Below are 20,021 nucleotides of genomic sequence, written 5' to 3'. Positions count from 1 at the left end.
TTCCCAAATTGGAGCACAAGCCTGGTGGTTAGTTTCAGCATTAAGAATTGTAAAAATTAGTAGAACTGAGTGAGATCTTTGGGATCATGGAATCCCTCATTTTACAAATGTAGGCAATGAGGCAATGGAGATGCAATGATTGCCTAAGCTCACTGTACTAATCTGAGTTAGAACTAGAACTCTGTTCCTGTGTCTTTCAATAAGGTGCCCTTTACATTGAAATGCTTCTCAAGTCATCATCTAAATTGAGCATTAAAACTATGATTTTGAGATTAGTGTACCATGGACTGAGCTGGCTGAGTAAAGCTGAAAGTGATATATTCCTAAAACCTCTCAAATGGTTTGAGAAACCTTTCATTTACCATAGCCACGTGCCAATTTTTGACCAGTCATCCCTTTGTCCCTGGTTCCCTTTGAAGAATTCTACCTGATTGTGTCTTCCCAGAACCTCTTTATTCTGAGTAATATATTCCCCTGGAATCATTTTATTTTTGGAAAGAAGTGTAGGGTGTACAGAGGTCTCTGTACTGGAGTAAGGGAAGAAGGAGTAGGTGCAACAGAATTTGGTGGTGCAGACTAAGAACTAAAATGTCAGATGGAAAGGAGAAAGTGCTGTGTGGTAATGAGAGGAGTGAGAACATGTGGTGAAGGCAACATGAGTGGGAGAGGATGTGAGGATGAGTGAGGGAACTGAGGGACATTGAGATGAGGGGGCCTGGATTCTCACCTTGACTGGCCAGCATGTCAGGGCTGCTCCAGACTGTGGAGCTGATGGCCTCGTCGAGTGGAGCCAGAGTTCCCAGCTCCAAATCCTGCTCCTGCCAGTAGCCTGGGGAGAGAATCTCCATCAAGCATGAGCCCTACATGTATCCTGCTACAGTGTGGGGCTCTACTTTCATTGCTGGGCATGTGGGAAAGGCTAGGTCCCTGTGAAAAATAGGTTCACCAGGATACCTAAGAGAAGGTAGGGTTCTTACCAAGGGGCGAAATTAACTAGAGTTCTGAAAAAGGAAGTGACTTTTTCTCTGAAGGGGTGAATTAAAGGAGGATGCTAACTTTTATCAGTCAGTCATAGAATGTTAGTGCCAAAGAGATCTTAAGAGTTCATCCAGTCTAGTTCTCCCACTTCGCAGATGAGGACAATGAAACCCTTAAAGGTTAAAAGTGACTTGGTGAAGTTCACTAGAGAAAAATGAAAGACCACCAAAGATTTCTCATTCCTTATCCAGAATTCTTTCTGCTCCACCATATGATTCACTAAAATTACTACACATTTAATAATTAGAAAATACTTTCACATGTAACCCTCTTAATAAACCTGTAAAATAAGTACAAGGACATTATCATTCCTATTTTGCAGAGTGGAAATAGAATGAAATGACTCGCCCAGGGTCATACAAATAGGAGATGAAGACTAGAAATTCAATGCCTGATTTTAAATACAAAGCTCTATTTGTTTCAATGTGAGACTCCCACCATTGAAGAAACAGATCATGGTTAGGGCTGAAAGTTGTACCATGTCTTCCCAGATTGCTACCTTCTATGGGCTACTCAAATTATCTTTTTTCCCTACTCTACCCTTAGCCCCTCTAAATGACTGAGTCTGCTCCTTCCTCTGGGACAACAAACCCCTTTTCCAGGGCCTGCGTCACCTCCTCACCTCTCTTCCTATAAGGTGGCTCCTAACGCCTTTCTTGAGGTATTGCAAGGAAAACTAAGGAAACCAAGAAACTTACTTCCTACATCCCCCTGCAGACAATTTTAAATCAATTCCATGCTCCCTTTGGCACCTACCTTACCCCTACCTGTCTGCCTATTCCTTTCTTGGTTACTGGAATTCCATTTCCAAGAAATACCCAATGGCCTAAGTCCCTAGCCCAACCTGAAGAGGCGGAGGGACAAAGAAACCGGCCTTGCGAATCTTTTCAGGGTCTCCCGCCGCAGCGCCCCGAAGTAGCCAATCAAGTGCGCAAAATTCAGTGAGCTCATCCGCTGCTGAGCAGAGCCCAGAGCTGCTACGTGTCCGGGCTTTGGAGTCCCGGGTGAACTTCGCCAGTCGTCCCAGCGCGACTCAGAGCCAGCTGGGGAGAGGCAGGTGGGGGAGGAGAGGGGAGAAAGGGGCGCTAGGACCGAGAGAGGGCGCGCGGGGGCCGGGAGGTCGAGATTACAAAGAAAAGTGGGACGTGGGCTTAGGGTCCCTGAGGAAGAAAAGGACAGGACTAGGGAGAGAATTGCCTAATCAGAAGCAAAGGGAAAGAGAGGCGAGGGGCGAGAGGAGAGGGGAGAGGGGAGGGAGAAGAGGAGGGGTACAGGATAAAGAGGGGGTGGAGAGGGAAGGGAGAGAATGGGAGGCCGGAGAGGGGAGGGAGTCAGGCAGGAAGCAGGCAGCGTTAGAGAGTCCTAGCATGGGAATGGGACTCTGAGACAGCTGCGGAGGTTCCCTGGCCTCCATGGAGGCACCTCCCCTCTTCTCTGCTCCTCACAGACAGCTTCCAGGAGATTTTAGGAATTACTCTGTTCTTAAATGGGAGAAGCGCTAATGCCCAAATGCTGAGAAGGAGTAAAGCGGAGAAAACAGAGAAAAACAGTCACAAATAGAGAGAAGTAGGCAGGAAAGGCGGGAAAGGGAACTGTCGATAAAAGAGAGGCAAGCAGGATGAGAATGAGAGAAGGAAAGGGGGCTGGGGAGAGGGCCAGGACTGTCACATCCAGCAGGGGCTCTCCCTGAGTGCCCCACACTCACCCTACTACCTTCTGTGCACATGGAGGATGGAGGCAACCTGAAGGTGGTGAGTGCTCATATTGTTTTTCCGGTTGTGTGTTCGTGGGTGCACTGTGTCAACGTCAACACACAGTAGGGAACCAAATTGGTTGTGCCAAGGTGTGGGACGGCAGAGGGACAGGGAGAAGACAGAGAGGACTCACACTCAGTCCCTCGGTATTGGTATCCAGTGCACAGTGAGTACTAAATAGGCCTTTGCTCAAATGAGTGGAGGAAATAGCCGTCTCATACCATAGTATAGGACTTTCAGTTTGCAGAGTGGATTTTCAACCACGAATTCATTTAATCTCAAAACAAACTCAAGAGATAGGCAGCCAGATAGAACTGCTTTTTACAATGAGGTTCAATTACTTACCTAAAGGCACACAAATAGCATACCTCTCCAGAATCCCTTCTGCCTCTGATGGTGCTTTGGGGGCTTTTTTGACATTCTGTGTTTCTTATGGCATTCCAGTGTGATTTACTTGTTTAGTTATCAGTCTCCTCATCTAAACTTTGAGCTGGTTAAGAGCAGGAGCCTTAAGTTATTCACCGTTGTGTCGTTAGCACTTAGCCCCTAGTGGGCTCTCGGTACATTTAATTGGCTCTGGTAATTCATTCAGCCACACTTGGCACTGTGCTATGTATATTGTTAATCAGGCAGAGCATGTATTCTGTCCAACAGCATGGGCTTAGTCTTCACTCTGCTGCTTCTTCTTTCATCTGTGCTTTTTTCTGCATCCTCCTCAGTTGCTTTTCTCCTTGCTCATATTTCTTTCATCCCTCCCCTCCTCCTGCATTTCACAGGCATCTTTTTTCTGCATAGGATGAATAAGTGAAATAGTGATGTAGATCATTCAAACCAAACTGAATTGTTCAGATCAGAGGACTGATAACCAAATGATCTCCAATAAATGTCATATTTGGGATGTACATGATGTATTGCCTCTATGGGTTTACAGAGCACTCACTCTGGTTTGTGGTGTCTTAAGAAACTGTGTAAGAGGTGGCTTTTTTTTTCTTCCCCCAGGGGTGACATTTCTCCCTCTAAGTTTGAAATGCACTTATAATCTCATGTCTTCTCTTGAGAACTGTCTCTTAATACGCTTGAAAGTTATCCTGTCATTTTATAAAATTGTAAGCCTGTATAATAAATTCCGAATGGCCACTCCCCAGGGAGTGGATGAGTGATTATAATGCTATCAACAGAAACATGGATAAGTAGCAGAAATTATAACCTGGGTTGTGAAAGACTTGTACCTTCTTTGGATTCAGATTGTGTCAGTCATTTATGACATCAGCATGAATTCTCTCAATGAATGCAGACTGGAAGGGAAAACTTAGGAGTACTCTGAATGGGTGGTATGGAATTTGAGGTGGAAATAGGAGCTCGGAAGGAGCTTCTGTCATTGAGACCATACAACCATTAGTGAGAGAAGGCCCAGGTTGCTCAGGTAGAAGAACAGATGAAGAGAGTTTCAGTCATATCGGTCATATTCTTTCCCTGCTTAGAAACCGTCACTGACTCTCCACTCTCTGCAGATAATACCCAGAGTTGTCAGCCTAGCCTTCAAGGTCCTGTACAGTCTGATGCCGAGCTTCATTTCAGTTTTGTGTTTTCTCTACTCCACTCACCCTGCATTCCAGGCATGTGAAGCCTTTTGGAATTCTCTCTATGAACGCTTTGTTTTTCTGCATCCGTTCCTTTGCCTGCAATAACTTTGCTGATAATGCCCTTCACCCATCTTCACATGTCTAAACTTTATCTATGAATAAAGCCTACATTTTGTGGCATATCTTTCCAGAAGTCTTCCCTGATTGTCCCAGATTGAAATAATTCCCCACTTCTCTGAGTTACACACTTTATCTGCTTTTTCTTAAATTATGCATTTCTTTCTACTTTGTACTGCAAGTTTGACTTTCCTCCCAAATTATAACGATTCCATAGGTAGGGTCTGATGCATTTTGCATCCAGTATTGGCCCTAATATAGCATATTGCTTATAGAAGGTGCTTAATAAATATTTCTTTATTAAATGAATCAGATACTAAGCATCTTCTACTGTAAGAGTTAGGTTCAAAATCTGCCGGTAGAGAGGAAATAGCAAACCAAACAGGAGATGAAGAAACAGGCCAAGGGAGATGGTAGACTACCCAGAAAACTATAAGACAGAAGAAATTGGTATTTATCAACAGTTTCTATATGTCAGGATCCAAATTAGTTGCTGTATATTCATTATTCCAGAACAACCTTTTAATAGCTAGATATTATTACACACACGTTAAAGCCGAGTTAAGAAACTTGTCCTTATGATGTATCTAATAAGTACTGGGATAGGATGGACTTTAAACTTAGACCTCTCTGACCACAAAGCCCAGGCTTTCTGCACATCTTTACTACACTGTCCCCCTCTGCAGAAGCATGTATTTTGTGTGTGTGGTGGTAGGGTAGAGCGTAAACTGGGAAAGATTCCTTGTTGCATTGTGGCCAGGGGTGACTCACCTAAACAATATTTACAACATTCACCTGCAGTATGATGAAAACGACAGTATAGCAAATTGGAAATGCGCACCTGTGGTGTTGACGGTCCTGTGGTTTGTACCCATTGAATGTACATTTTTACTTGGATGCCTTAATGTGCCTGCACCTATACCTTTGGGACTATTTCATGGACCCCTAAGTGCCTTACCGTGTGGGACTCTTCAGATAACCAAGCAAATGGCATGTCTAGTTAAAAAAAAATCTCCTTGTGTTTTCATAGCACTCTAGCAGCTAGGCTGAAAACTAAAGAATTATCTTCTTGTCTGTTCTGAATTGCTTTGGAGGTTTCTTAACTCTTGCTTTATTTGCTCATGGGTTCTAGTATCTTTAGGATTTCCAGCATTTTAAAGGACAAAGTAGCCCTTTCACCCACTGATTTTCTTCTTATTGATTGTTCATATTAAGAGTGGCAGAGGTGGGAATTGGAGAATTACTAATGTGCTTCTTTAAAGCACCTGTTATTCAGTTTTTCACTCATAGCACAGAGTCTCACACATAATAAGTGCTCAATAAATATTTATTGAATAAATAAATGAGTAACTCAAATAAATAAAAATGTATTGTCTTGAATTTAAGCAACTTTAGTGGAAAGTCTATGAAAGTCTGCCAGTATAACCCCGGATTGCTTGGTTTATATATTGTCCCTGCCGTGTCTGTTTTGGGGACCTATAACATATTGGCCTTACAGCCATAAACAGGGTCACAGGTGCACAGGTCAGATGGTGGAACAGGAGGACAGAGCTCTCCTGAATAACTGCTGCTGGCCTTGCCAGTGCTTGAGTCCAGAGTCCCACTTCCCTGACTGTAGAAAAAAAAAGCTCCCTGAGTAGGAGTTGATGATGATGGTGATGATGATGATGATGACTCAGCATTTCTCTAACTCCAGAGTTAAAAATACTGTTCATCCCAGCCTACTTGTTATTCCTCACGACTACCATGACAGGTGGGTGGAGGAGTGTTATCTCCAAGGGAAAAACATATTGGGGGCTGCGGCCCAGAATACTGAAGGGACCCACTTTTAGAATGGTTTATCTACATCCATTGCTGGGCTCCTTGTCCAGATTATGTCATTCTCATTTTTCCCTAACCCCAGCTTCTTAGTGAATTCTATGTACAGTTGGATCACATGCACAAGAGACTGGCCATAGCAAAATCAGGATTAGAACTCAGCCCCTGGAGCTTTTCTTTATGCTCAGAGTGACAGTTTTCTTTGACAGTGAATATTTGGTTGTGCATTTGGAAGAAATCAGACCACTTCTATCTGAATTCTGATTTAGCTGAAAACTTCAAAATTTGGGGGAGTTGCTTTGACTTTAGAGCACAAAACGCTGGTCAGAAGGAACTCTGTACAGTTAACTTCCTTCGGTTGTTCTTGGGCAGCCAGCAGCGATGTCACATCTACTGAAGTCACTTTGTAATTTCCTAATCTAAGGCTTTGCCTGAATGTCAAAATATTCTCTTACTTCCTACCCTCCATTCCTTTCTAACTCTGTCTGTCCCCCATTAAATTCCTAATTCCCTAATGGCCACGATATAATAGTGTAGTCAAATAGAAGCTGAGCCATACGGGGTGGGAGTTATTCTGTCATCTGGTACCCTCTTTCTTTCCAGATACTATTTTTTCCTTTTTCATTGCTCCTCAGGGAAAGGCCTCTTGTCCCCTCACAAGCAGCAGTCTCCTAAAGGATCTCCTTTCCTTAGTTCCAATGCGTTCCAGCTCACATCCACTTTGGAACTTCAGAGCTCAGTCACGCTTCAGCTGCCTACCTCCCTGATCTAGGCCTTCTCTCCACCTCACTGCCCCATCCACCCTCTTTCTGGCTGGGCTACTGAGACCTTGCTCCTCCTTGTTTCCTCTCTCTATTATTTCTGTTGCTGTCTGGTTTTTCCTCCTATAGTCTTGTTTATCAAGCAGCCTCTTGATAAACTACTCTGTCCCAGCTTTGCTTTACTCTCCTAGGAGGCATACAGGATATGAGTGAAGATAGATGGTCAGTAGGAATGGAGAACAGAATCTTCACTATAAGAAGTCCTAACATGTGTATTAGCTGCTTAGCTTGGTAAAGCCTGGGCCAGAGATCCAGGATTTATGGACCCAGGGGTCCTACACTATTAGATTATCTAAGAGATTTAGATTTGGAAGGAACCTGTACCCAATCTGGGCTCAAACAGGTTTATTATTACACCTTGGCAGACATCTTTTGGTTCCATCCTAAGCAGGTTAAAAATGAAAGGCTTTTGTTTTCTGCTTTGGGAATGGTGTGTGGCTAGGCTTTTCCAGGCTGAATGAGGAGGGAATCTTTGAGATAGTTAGCTAGCTTGCCTGTGGTGGGTGTTAAGGTGGGGTTAAAATGAAAAGCTTATCTTAGAGTTAACCCTTGGTTCTCACTGAAAAACAATTATTCTTAACATTTTTTAATATCCAAAGTTTAAGAGAAAATTCAAATGTTTTCCCCTATCCAAACTTTAAGGTATTATGAATACATATATTTTACATAGTTCCTAAAACCTTGCAGCCAACTTGCGTATCTGGTCATAGCCTACTGAATCCTAAGGGTCAGAGGTGGTTATTTCTAAGATCCTTTTGATTTTACAGAAGGATGGAACTAATGCCCTTTCTGACTCTCTATTGTCCAAGTTCAGTAATTCCTTTTTTCTTTCTGTTGCACCTAATTCTGCCCAAAATATTCTCCCCTCTATGATTCTTAGAAGTGTAGATTTTTATAGTTGACAAGATATTAAGTATCATCTGGTCCAATCCTCTTATTTTAAAGATGAGGAACCAAGGCTCAGAGAGGTTTAGGAACTTGAGCATGGTCACACAGGCAGTGAGTGAGACCTGTACTCATTGATAGTTTATAGCAGTCCTTGTGGACTGGCTAATTCAGTGGTTAATTTGACACTAAGTGTCAAATATTTCCGCTGACACCCACTCTTCCTATGCCTCATCTCCTGTGCATGATACTGAGGAACTCCAGGACCGTGGACCTTAAGAGAAGTAAGTCTACTAAATGCCCAGTAGGTTGGAGAAGTTTGGTTATGATGAAGAGGGAGTCCCTGAAGATGGGGCGGATGGCATCTTCTTACACTTCAGGGCTTTACCGGCAGGTTCCAGTTCACACAGAAGAAGAGGCCATTGGGCAGAAGTCACTGCCATGCCCTTTGGAGCTAAAAAGGGTGACTGTGAGGACAGGTGGCATGTGTGTGTGCGTGTGTGTGTGTGTGTGTGTGTGTGTGTGTCTGTCTGTGTGCTTGCTGGCATCTGCAAGGTGAAGAGCTGAGGGAATGCTAACCTGATTGTGAAGCAGGAGACAGGGGCCAGAAGAGAAGAGAAGAAAAAAAGCAGAGGAACATGTCCTATTCTTGAGCTGGAGAGAGAAAAAATCTGGAGGCAGAAGTGGGCTTGTGGTAGGCTGAGGGGGGCCTTCAGAGACTTAGTTAAGATTCCGAGGAGCAGAGACTGGGAAGTGGGTGGCAGGGAAGGAGGTGGGGACAGCTGTTGCTTTGATTTGCTATTGAGTCAGTGTTCTTGGTGCATTAGCACCAGGAGGGAGCCCTGGGCTGGCCCCCAACCAAAACAAGCCCCTCTGTAGCCAATACTGAGTTGTAGCAAGGAGAACTGCAGTTGAGAGACAAAAAGGGAGGGGATTTGATCCCGAAAGAGTCTCTTCCTTGCCTTAGCTGCTTCCTTCTGGGACTGGGCTGTGTGCTCTAGACAAGCATCTAGTGTTCTGCCTGAAGAGGATGAGAGGGTGAGGTGAAACTGAGCACGGGGGAGGGCTCAGTGAGGACCTCTAGAGCACAGATTCTGTGCAGGTACTGACTGTCTTCAGTTGTTTTGGAGTAGGCCCCTGAAGACAGGATGATAACAGCCCTGAGCCATTTTAGGAGTGTCTGTTTATCCCATCTCCTCATTCCCTTCTCACTATGATCAAACACTTTAGACATACGGACAGGTATGACTTGAAATCTGCATTCTAATGCAATACAGTCAGGAGGCCAGACTTTGAACTCTTAGTTGTCCTCTTAAACTAAGTAGAGGGATTTTATACCCTTTCCCCCAATTTATCTTGCTGTTTTCACACATATGTAATAAAACTGGGGGGAAAAAGTTCCTCATCTTAGGAAAGTACTTGAGAAAGGAAACATAACAGAGTCAAACGCAGAATTCAATTTAGCTCATTGGAAGGGTATGGGAAAATAGAGACTGGGAATGGGCCAGAAATCCCAGAAAATCAGAAGTAAAGAATATATTCTCTGGAGATGAAAAATCTCAGCCCAGGTTCCAACAACTTGCTCATACTCTGCACTACCCATCCCAGTGCCCCAATACCTGTCTGAGGGCATGGATGAATTCCCTTTCTCAGTGGGCTCTGTCTTATTCTCCTATGCTCCTTATGTTGCACTTTAGATATTACAGGCTGATGGCTTGGTGTGGTGGGATAACAATGCTGTGGAAAAGTTTAATTTGTTAGAAGTCAAGCAAGAAAGCACTCATCTCTGCTGGTTCTGATTTTCCTGACTTGTTTTTACTGTTTCCCTTCACTGGATGATCAGAGTCTGGGTGTGGATGACAGGTTCAGGGCAATGGTTAGGAGCATTACATGAAGAAAAATGTGTTCTGCTCTACACACCCACACTACTCTAGTTTCACTGATTCCCCCAATCCTAACTGCTATTTAGTCTCCCTGCACTCTTCTCACTTAAAAAAAAAAAAATCTGTATTTTTAAAATTGCGGTACATTGTTCGCATTAGCCTCACTTTGTGAGAATTTCACTCTTCTGTGAAATAGATACATTCTCCCAAGTCCACAGATCTCACAGTCCCCGAAATGGAAAATAATATTGTTCTGACATAAAGAACTCTTATCTCTCTTCTTAAATCTCCATTGAGTGTCTCTTATTTGATGGGGGCAAACACACATTTTTGTTCCCTAAGATAGATGCATATTTTGACATGTGCCCCTCAATACACACACACAAGACACTCTGATTCTCACTAATCATATTTCTGGGGTTTTTTTCTGACATGAACACACAGATTTTATTATGACCCAGATACAGAGCCCTTTTCACATGCCCATATTAATCAGAACCCCTTACTTCCAGAATACCATATGGCTTAAACTCAGAGATTCTCCCCAAAGCAGAATTCAGGCTCTCTCTTCTGCTCAAACTCCCCAGGAGAGGGCCAGAATCCTCTCCTCTCCAGGGTTGAGGCTCAGTCCATCTGTCACTGACATTGGACTCCAGGGCTTGGAAACCAGAAAAGAGTTGGCATTAAGTGGCAATTGAGGATAAATCAAAATATGGGAGGCTCAGGGGCTTAGTGGTGGTAATTTTTATATTTGTGTGAGATTAGCAGATAGAAGTTATGGGAAGAAACATATAATATGTATTTGGAAAGATCTCATCCTTAAGAACTACAGCAAGAACTAGTGAGTGCAATTGTTTCACTGTAATTTTTGCATTTGCTGGGCAAAAAAAAAATGATTAGGAGCAGATGGTAAAACTGGCTTCTCATTTTATAATAACTCAAGAACTCAGCTCCAGGCTCTTCAGACTGACTGACTGCTATGCTAAGTTCCAAGTTACCTCTCATTGATATACTTACTGAAATCAGAATTGGAAGCAAAGCGCCAGGTCATAGAAGGGTAAAAGTAAAATATGAAACAAGAATCTGCATATTTCCAATAAAATCTGTTGTCAGAAGTACTAGTTCTTCATCCTACCTTGCCAGTATTTGGGAGTATATGAAGAAAGGGGAGAAATGAATAATGGCTAGCCTACAGATGAGTGCCTGAGACATCAGCCTTCATTACTTTTTCTTTTTTCTCTCTAGAGCAAGGTGATGCACCTGACCTTCTTGACCCTGAACTAGAAGTAAATGAGCCAAAGGTGCTTATAATTAGCAATCAATACACAGTTAGTGTAAGTCTAGCTGGGGAAAGGGAAAATAAATCCTTAGAGAAGACAACATTTTAGTTTGTTCTTTAAGTTATTTAGCTTTCTTATTGTTCTCTTGGAGACTTCCAAGAGAAAGAGAGAGAGAGAAGAGAATCTTGAAGAATCCCAGGGGTAAGAGTTCACATTAAAGAATGATATATGTGCTGAAAAATATGTTGAGATTTCTGTATTTGAGTCCTTTCTGAAACCTGCCTGCTCTTCATGAGAACAGGGGGCTTAGGAAGATGAGTAGATGGGAGACACTCCAGCTGTTACTATAACCCTAATTCTGTCTTGCTGAAGCCTCGCTCATAGAGATAAATCACTCTCATTACCTGTCCTTGAGGAATGAAGTTTCTCCTTGTTTCAAATGAAGAAATGAAAGAGGAGTCCTGGAAATTCATCCTGGAAGCCTGCCTCTCCAACTAGACTCTGCTGTAGGTCACTCATAAGTATTAACTATTATATTAACTCTTATCCATAAATTGACATGGGAAAATCAGCATTTAGGGGATGAGAAGCTTGTGTAGTTCTGATGCGATGTGAAGAACAGGCTGGCTAATCTAAGACTGACGGGCTGAGCACTCTCAGCTCCCTACGCCGTTTGATATCATCAGCTTATTGGAAGGTACCCTTAAAGCATAGCAGAGTAGAGTTTAAAGATGCATCTACTGAGATATGGCCAAGGACCTGTGCTCTGGGAGAAGATGGTTATATTTAAAGCCATTTAGTTTTGTACAAGGTGGTTATAAAGGTGGGGAAGTTAAGTCAAGATTTTGATATTTGTTTTCTCCTATACATGTACTAACCAGGCCTAACCCTGCTTAGCTTCCGAGATCAGACAAGAGCCGGTGCGTTCAGGACGGTATGGATGTACACTTGATACTTGCTTTCTATGCCTCTCATTTACTGGATTCCTCCATTATCTATTCTGATAACCCATTGTTATGTATTGTCTTTGCTAAGGTTGAGGGAAAAGGGTAAAAAAGCACCATGACAGGAAAGTTAGAGTTGGTTGTCATGCTCAGAGTGCTATTAAGAGGTACATGTTTATAAACTGGGTAGGATTCATTTTACATTCCACACTTATAGTGTATACAGTCAATCCTGCATATACATGGGTTCCACCTCCATAGATTCAATCAATTGCAGATTGAAAATATTTTTAAAAGCTGTGCCAGTACTAAACTTGTATAGACATTTTCCCCTGTCGTTATTGCCTAAACAATACAGTAAAACAACTATTTACATAGCATTTAGATTGTATATGGTATTATAAGTAATCTAGAGATAACGAAGTATACAGGAGAATGTGCATAGGTTATATGCAAATGCCACTCCATTTGATATCAAGGACTTGTGCATCTGCAGATTTTAGTATCTGTGGGAGGTCCTGGAACCAATCCTTCATGGATACCAAAGTACAACTGTATATTGTTATCATATAAGAGCAATACTATCTCAATCTAAAACAGAACTATATATAGTTGTATTTTTAATCTATGAATCCAGATATGACAAAACATTCAGTTCTTTTGAGGCCATTTGAGGTCACTGTAGGCCACAATTTCCTGAGCATCTTACAAAAACCTTCTAGCACTTCTTTTTTAACCTAAGAATTGCTTGCCCTTCTGTTCCCTTTCTGCAGTTGATCAGATGGCTGTGAGGACTTTCTAGATCTATATCTCAGAGTTTTGTCATGTGTTTGTGGTGGAACAGGTCGGGGAGCATAACCAAGAACCTGTGTGTTTGTGGTGGCAGGGAGGGAGATTTCAGCCCTGTTCTGGGGACTGCACTGTGGAGAATAAGGAGATTATGAAACTTGGAGGTAAAACAGGACCATGGAGAGCAACAAGAAAAGCCTGGAGTGTCACTGTCAGGGGCTAGCACCATGGAGAGCTCAAAGCACAGGTATAATAGTTTGCTCCATAAAGAACAGGGGAACTGGGATCACGGGGTAAGGCAGCCAGCTCTCAAGCACAGGAACTAAAAGAACAGACATCATGGCTTCTATTAGGATCACTCTACGCTCATCACTTGCTCTATAAGGCCTCCTGAAGTGCTTTATTTGAACCTGTCTGGTTGATACACAGTCAAGAGACTGTGCTGAAAAATGAGGACCACCACCAGACTCAGTTTGTCAACATGATCTTCTGTGATTATGTTAAATACCTAGATATTAGTGGTGATGGAGGGGCTTTTAATGTGCTACAACTTACCGTGAGTAAAATTAGGCCTATCTTCTAAAGAGGGAACAGAGAGCCTGTGCCCCCTCAGAGACAGTAGGATGCAAGAAAGTCAAAATATGTATTTTCGTCAGGTAGGGTATGAGACGTATCAGACTCAGAATGTCCCAATGTATCCAAAATTGCTGTAAGTAGTTCAGACAATCACACTAGAAGAGAGGTATGGAATCATGCCTCTTAAGAAGAGTATTGTTCTCAGGATTTAGAAGTTTCTCTGTTAGTTGAGGAATTTGATGACGGCCTTAAGGCTTAGGAAAATTTTGGTAAAGAAAGAAATGATTCTTTAGTAGTTGCTGCTTCAGTGAAGAATATGTACCTTTACTTCTTAGCATCTTAGCTTCTATTGTGTAAAAATCTCAACAGATTCATGCGTTCAAGCCTCTTGAGAGCTCGACTTCTCTGTACTAGAAGGGATGGATCTTCTTGTCATATATAACAGAATTGGACTGGGTTTTTACTTGGGTAGTTATTGGAGCCCTGGGCACCAGCTGGTTCTGACCTTGTAAAAAATCATCACTACTGCTGATCCCAGAGGCAGAAACAGGTCTCTAGCCCTGGAAACTTGTTCTTCTTCATTTTATGATGACCTGAAGTATTTATACTTAATCGGAGCAAGTTCTTAGAAACAGAATCTTTTTCTGATGGCTTGCTTCTCCAGGGTCCTTTTCTGATGGTTTGTTTCTCTCTGTCTTTTGTAAGCATTTCCATGGGGATTGCTATTCTCAGAGATTAAGGGTGGACCTCTAAAACAAGACCCCATACAGGAAACAAAATGTTCTAGTACATGGGCCTATAGTCAGTGTTAAACATGAAACATTACATTCTAACATGAAAAATAAAAGAAAATATAATTACCAAAACTTTATAATAACTTTGAATTTTTCACTCAGTAGTCAGTAAGTAGCTGGTCCAATCCACAGCTTGCTTTCAACAAGAATCTGGAACCTAGATCACCATCCTTAGGTAAAATTCCATTACTGAGAATTAGATGACAAAAAAGGGATTGTTGAGCCAGTATGCAGTTCCACTGGAGTAGGAAACAACAAAGAATAAGACTAGTCACAGCCCCAGGGGTTTTCTTTCTCTGGTGATATTTTTTCCTACCAAGTGATTTAAGGAAAATAAACTTTTGATCCTGTTTTACATATTATTTGGACTGCAAGAAAGTAGTAACATCAAGAAGTACCAAAATCAAATCTAAGAATTTACAGAGCAATGGCACAACCTCTCAGTTTGTTATTTCAAAGTAACCAGAACGCCAAAGCGATGCTGTCTCTGGAATTTTATGGCTGCAGAACTATGAGTCACTCTCTCCAAGTGAATAGTGAATATCTCCAACAAGGCACTCTTGCAATTAGATTTGGACCTTCTTTCTTCTTCAGTTGGAAGAGGAAAGAGAAAGAGCCTAAGGGTAGTAAGCTGGCTCATTCTATCAGTCTAGGACAGAGGATTTTGAACTGTGTGGTAGAACCCCAGGTAGTTCCTTAAGGATTATAAGAATGTGTAAAAGCCAGTAAGACAGGGAAAAGGGATATAGGTCTTACTTCACCATTTCAACAACAGCATTCTCCTTTGATATGTTTTCCTCATTTGTTAAAAATGTCTCACATCTTTGTTTTAAAAACAAATGAGAAAACTGCTGCCCTAGAGGAAACTATTAAAACTAACAGTGCTATCCAGATCTATGGAGAAGCTTAGAATAGAATGGCATAACTGCTGGGTAGGCAGTTGACGTTACATACATTAGGACCTACATGAAACACACTGATTCTTCATGGAATTAACTAAACTCTGCTATGCAAGTGTCTCTGTGATGGTCTTAACTTTTCTGTGCCAGAAAATGCACATGTCTAAAAGGAGAGCATATCCTTCCCAAGAGTTACAGCTGCAACTAGGAGGAGAACAGGAACAGCAACAGAACAGTTACAGCTGCAACTAGGAACAGAAACTGGATGGAGTTGATCTGCCAAACAGATCTGTGGACAGCACTAGAGTGAATGCCTGCTGGACTTCTGTGGCACATTGGGCATGATGTCCTCACTGGGCATCTGGCCAGGGGGCTGTAGAATGAATGGTAGTGGACAGAGGTCATTGAGAAGAAATAGATGTTCATGTGTGGGGCAGTGCAGTACAAGGTTAAATTGCTATAACCTTATCTGAAACAAAGAGAGGCTATCCGTCTATCTATCTTTACCCTAGGCCAAGTCACAGAGTGCTGGAAATAACTTCAGAAGGAAGAGCCCAAGAAAGCTGGTCACAGTGTTGAATATTGAGCTGCTCACCAGAGAGAGGACACATTAAGTTCACAGGACTTATGTCCTCCAAACCCAGAATTGTCAACCACTGTGAAAACTAGTGGGGAAATGTGAGAAGGAAGGGCAGATGGGACATTCTAAATGTCTTACCTGTTCCTGAACTTCTAGCCACAACACTCATGGCCAGTCTTAGTTATCAGCTGCTTGCCCTCTCAATCCCTGTTCAGCCTTATGAAGCTTAAAAAATTTATGCTGTGCTCCAGGGAATGATATGCCCCAGCAGCACATTAAGTTTGTTTTCCTTATTTTAAATGGGAATAGGTATGCTACCACAACACCCTTGACAATTCAAACATCACCATAAGAGTATCTTGTCCTTAAACCTTCCCACCACATCTCTCATAGTTTTGGTCAAACATTACCAGTTAAGATACATATACATATTGCCTAGTTCTCTTCCTAGGGGCCCCAGGCCAACTCAGGGGTACGAAACACATGTCCATGATTGTGTGCAAAATAGTCTTCAGGATTACTGTCCGTGAGCATTAAATCTATGCATTTACCTCCCACCATCAGCACTGGCCTTCTTAGATCCAGAAACTAAAAGATAGAATTAATTTAAGACAGAAGATATGGTGGTTATGTCTCATGCATCAGTGTGTCCTGAGATACTGCACACCAGACAGATGTCCATTATCTGTAAAGATAATGCTCTTCAAGGAAAATGATGCTTGGTTTGACTCTTCTTTGGAAACAGACCCCTCCTGTTCATCTCCCACTTCCCCACCTCTTCTCTAGAAATTCCCCATTCAGAAGTTACTGCTTTCCACTGTTTCTCTCAGGCCACTGCTCTGAAGCATATTTCTAAATATGAGGATGTAACATTTCTCTTCCTCTCAACTTTAAGCCTGAATAGGGGCTGAACCCCCAGTTTGAGGACCAAGAAAGAAGAGTGTAGTTGGTGAAGAAAGACTTGGCTAGTATACTGATTTACTCTAGTCTATAGTTTTTTTTTACATCTTAGAGTAGAAGAGCTCACAGCTTTCTGGATGACGTCTTTCTCTCTTTTTGGGGCCCAGCCTAGCACCATCAGTTCCCATTGCTGAACAGTTGCAGTTTGGATCATATTTGCCTCTCGTCATAAAACTCAGCAGGTTAGGAAGGCCAGGGGCTGCAGTTGAAAGTCAAGGCCTAGTAGCAGGGTCATTAATGAAGCACAAACACCCAGCAGCCTCTCTGTCGTGCACTTAGCCTGCTCTCCCCAAGGACTCCCTTCAGCTCCTCAGTGAGTGGGGTCATCAGTGCAGTCCTCTGGGGAAGGGGATTCCACGTAGGGGAAAGGAGAGGCTGCTGTCTCTGTGGTGACTAGGGCGGGAACTCCCTTTGGGGAGTTTGATGGGTAGAGGGCAGAAGGAGTAAGCCAGCCAGCCAACTATAGGGAGGGGATCCCCAGGGTCCCCATACCAGGGGAAGCTCCTTTATCACGATGGAGACAGGGATGGGGGAGGTCAGGCGAGGTGGAGCGATTATTCCTCCAGCACCCTGGCTCTTCGCCTGTTTTCCTCAGATGAAATTCTCTACATCATCCTTCCCAGTTTCAACCCCTCCCCTCTCCACCCCCGCCCCGCCCTGTGCCCATCCCTGCTGGCCACTGGGTCCATCGCCCAGGAGCCACCTCCCCTTTCTCCTCCCCTGCGGTTCTTTCTGTTTTTCGTTGGCATCTGGCCGGGCATAGCCACCACCCTCCCCCTTCACTCTCCCCACTTCCCTTTGCTCCACAGAGGTCCTGTTCCCTCTCCCCCTTCCTCCATCCCAGCCCTCCTCCTCTTCCGACAGGGCGGTGGGGGGAGGAGGATGCATTCCTTCAGTCTCTTCACAGCCTGCCCTCCCTCCTCAGGGACCTGAGGCTCGGAGCTGTGGACCCCTTCCGGGTTTCCCTACAGGCTGCCCCTCTGGCATCCCACTAACCGTTAGTAGCCTTTAAGAAAGCTGAGGTGCCCCCACAGCGCTGACCTACATAGCCCGGCCCAGGGCGGGAGGGGCTCTTCCCCAAGTCCCCTCACCCCTGGCCCCGCCTCCTTTCTCCCCCGACTCCCTTCCTTCATCTCTCTACCATTAGGAACCAGCGAAGGTTTGAGTTCCAGACTGGGGCAAAGGGGCTAGGTATGCTACCCCATCCCAAATTTGGGAAAATCAGTGCTTAGCCCAGGAAAGCTTTGGGTTTCTCATGCATCCTCCTCCCCAAATATCTTGATTCTTTCTTTTGCGCTCCCCCCTACCCCCACCCCGCCTCTGCTCCTGTCGGATTTCTTTTCCCAGCTTCTACCACTGCCAGGGATATTGCCATCCTGGGCCCCCTCCGCCCTGTGTTGTTGTTTTGCTCCAAGGATAAGGGCCCTCTTCTTTGCCCACGCCCCCTTCAGCAGCCTCACCCAGGCCCCCTTCTCTGCCCACTCGGAGCTGCGCCGCGGGTGGTGGGGGACGGGCGGGGGAGCAGAAATGTTTGCATACAGCAGTTTGGGGGATTGCACTGGCTACCCAACCCCTACAGACATACATACACAAACACCCGACACACGCCCTGACTGAAACAGCGACAAATCTCACTCCGCCCCCAACACACACTGACACAGACATACACACAGATACTGACACAGAAACGCAGAGCCAGACACCAACACAGACGCGCGCGCACACGGACAGCAACACATCCAGACCCCGGGCTGCTCCTAACGGACATCAGCCCCGAGAGCCAAACCCCGGTGCACACGCAGACACACGCTCAGTGGTGTACACAGAAGGGTGCACACACCGGCACACCCACAGTCCACAGAGACACGGATGCTCAGAGACAGACACAAGGGTATTAGCAGCGGCTGGTGACTTTAACCCCGGTTCCAAACAAAGCCAACAGGCTCCTTCCGCGAGACTCCCGATCCCAGCCCCCGCCTCGGGTCACTCCCCACCTCCCCAGGCGCCGCCCCCTCCCTCACTCACCGTCCTGGGAGAGGTTGGCCCCGCCGGGCGCCCAGCAGCAGGCGAACAGCAGGAGCAGGAGCAGGAGCGAGGCGGCTGGGGCCCCCATCGCGCTTCCCGGCCGGCTCCCTGGCTGGGCGCTGGCGAGCCTGAATCCCCGGGGGCTGGGGATGGGGAGGGGGTGGACTACGATGTTGACCGAAAGGGCGCCCCCGAGCCGCTTCGGAGCCCGGGGCCGAGGTGGGGACCGGGAGGGAGCCGGCGCTGCTGCAGTCGCGGGGATTAAATAGGGCGCTCGGAGCAAACCATTTGGTTGGAGGTGGAGGGGGTTTGGCGGGGGGCTGGGCTGGTCGCGGGGGGGCCAGGCTGCCGCATTCCCCACACCCCCCGCCTCCCACACCCCCTCCTTGCCTTCGTGGTGCCTTCCACCCTCTCCCCCGGGAGCTCGGCCAGCCGGGCTCGGGTGTGGATCAGAGGGAGGGAGCTGGCTCAGCAGTGGGACCCTGCGCTCACCCCTCTTAGGCTTGGGGTGGAGGGAGGGGAGTCGGACAGGGCCATGGGCCAGCTGGCGAGTGCAGCCACTGCAGGCCTGGGCAAGGGCGTGCTCACTAGCCTGAGGTCCTCCAGCTCCGCCCTCCATCCTTTGGCAACTGGGGATCCCCTTAAGCCCTGGGGTCCCCCACCAACCATGTACCCAGGGACATCTCTCCAGTGGATAACTACTAACTCTCAGCCTTCTCCTAAACGCTAACATCCCTAATTCCTCTTACCCAAGAGCCCATAGTTATCTGTCCAGCAACAATTTGTGGCCCCTGGCCTTAAGCCCTGGGGTCCCCCTATCAACAGTGTACCCAGGGACACCTGTCCAGTGGATAATTGCTAACTCTCATCATTTTCCTAAACCCTAACATCCCTGATTCCTCTTACCCAAGAGCCCATAGTTATCTGTCCAGCAACAATTCGTGGCCCCAGGCAATCTCCCTTGAAAGGCATTTTCCAACAAACTCCCAGGCCTTGGGAACCAATGTCTCCCTCAATCTCATGTCAAGGAAATAACTCACCCTCTGAAAACATGATTTCACCCCAGACTCTTGCCCAATCTGGCAGCCTAACAAAGCAACTCAGTCGTTTTCTTTCTTAACCCTCCCTATTACATCTCTTTAACCCCCGGTCCCTTTCTCCAATACGTTTTCTTCTTTCTTGTTCTTTTGCAGATCTCGCCCATCTCAAGTTTGAGTTAGTAAGGTTCATGGATGAAGAGTCTGATCTAGAAACCCTCCAAGGACCCCTGCGTCT

General features: G+C 45.0%; 1 protein-coding gene and 1 pseudogene across 4 annotated transcripts in view, besides 2 other annotated features; both read right to left on the bottom strand.

Moving 5' to 3' along the window:
- Positions 1-18,985, bottom strand: part of CADM3 (cell adhesion molecule 3) — a 31,699-nt gene extending 12,714 nt beyond the window's left edge. For 2 of the 4 annotated variants that reach the window (XM_024448760.2, NM_021189.5), the window contains exons 1-2: positions 18,747-18,985; positions 728-829 (exon numbers count right to left, since the gene is read on the bottom strand). In XM_024448760.2, the coding sequence (XP_024304528.1) occupies positions 728-829; positions 18,747-18,834 (190 nt within the window). In that variant the 5' untranslated portion in view covers positions 18,835-18,985. The remainder of the gene's footprint in view (positions 1-727; positions 830-18,746) is intronic. The other 2 variants (NM_001127173.3, NM_001346510.2) reach the window with 1 other exon arrangement.
- Positions 1,908-1,987: a silencer, noted in NCBI's record as "silent region_1453". NCBI's record gives its function as "represses an Ori minimal core promoter by ATAC-STARR-seq in GM12878 lymphoblastoid cells {active_cell/tissue: GM12878}" and the evidence as "EXISTENCE:reporter gene assay evidence [ECO:0000049][PMID:35858748]".
- On the bottom strand, positions 12,041-12,127 carry RNA5SP60 (RNA, 5S ribosomal pseudogene 60; annotated as a pseudogene).
- Positions 19,348-19,848: an enhancer, noted in NCBI's record as "H3K4me1 hESC enhancer chr1:159140542-159141042 (GRCh37/hg19 assembly coordinates)". NCBI's record gives its function as "activates a minimal SCP1, AML or CMV promoter by ChIP-STARR-seq in naive H9 embryonic stem cells {active_cell/tissue: H9 hESC(naive)}" and the evidence as "EXISTENCE:reporter gene assay evidence [ECO:0000049][PMID:30033119]".

This window comes from Homo sapiens, chromosome 1, assembly GCF_000001405.40.
Source record: "Homo sapiens chromosome 1, GRCh38.p14 Primary Assembly".
Lineage (NCBI taxonomy): Eukaryota > Metazoa > Chordata > Mammalia > Primates > Hominidae > Homo > Homo sapiens.
The sequence above is the reverse complement of the archived record's forward strand: the minus strand, read 5'-3'. Positions and strand labels throughout refer to the sequence as shown.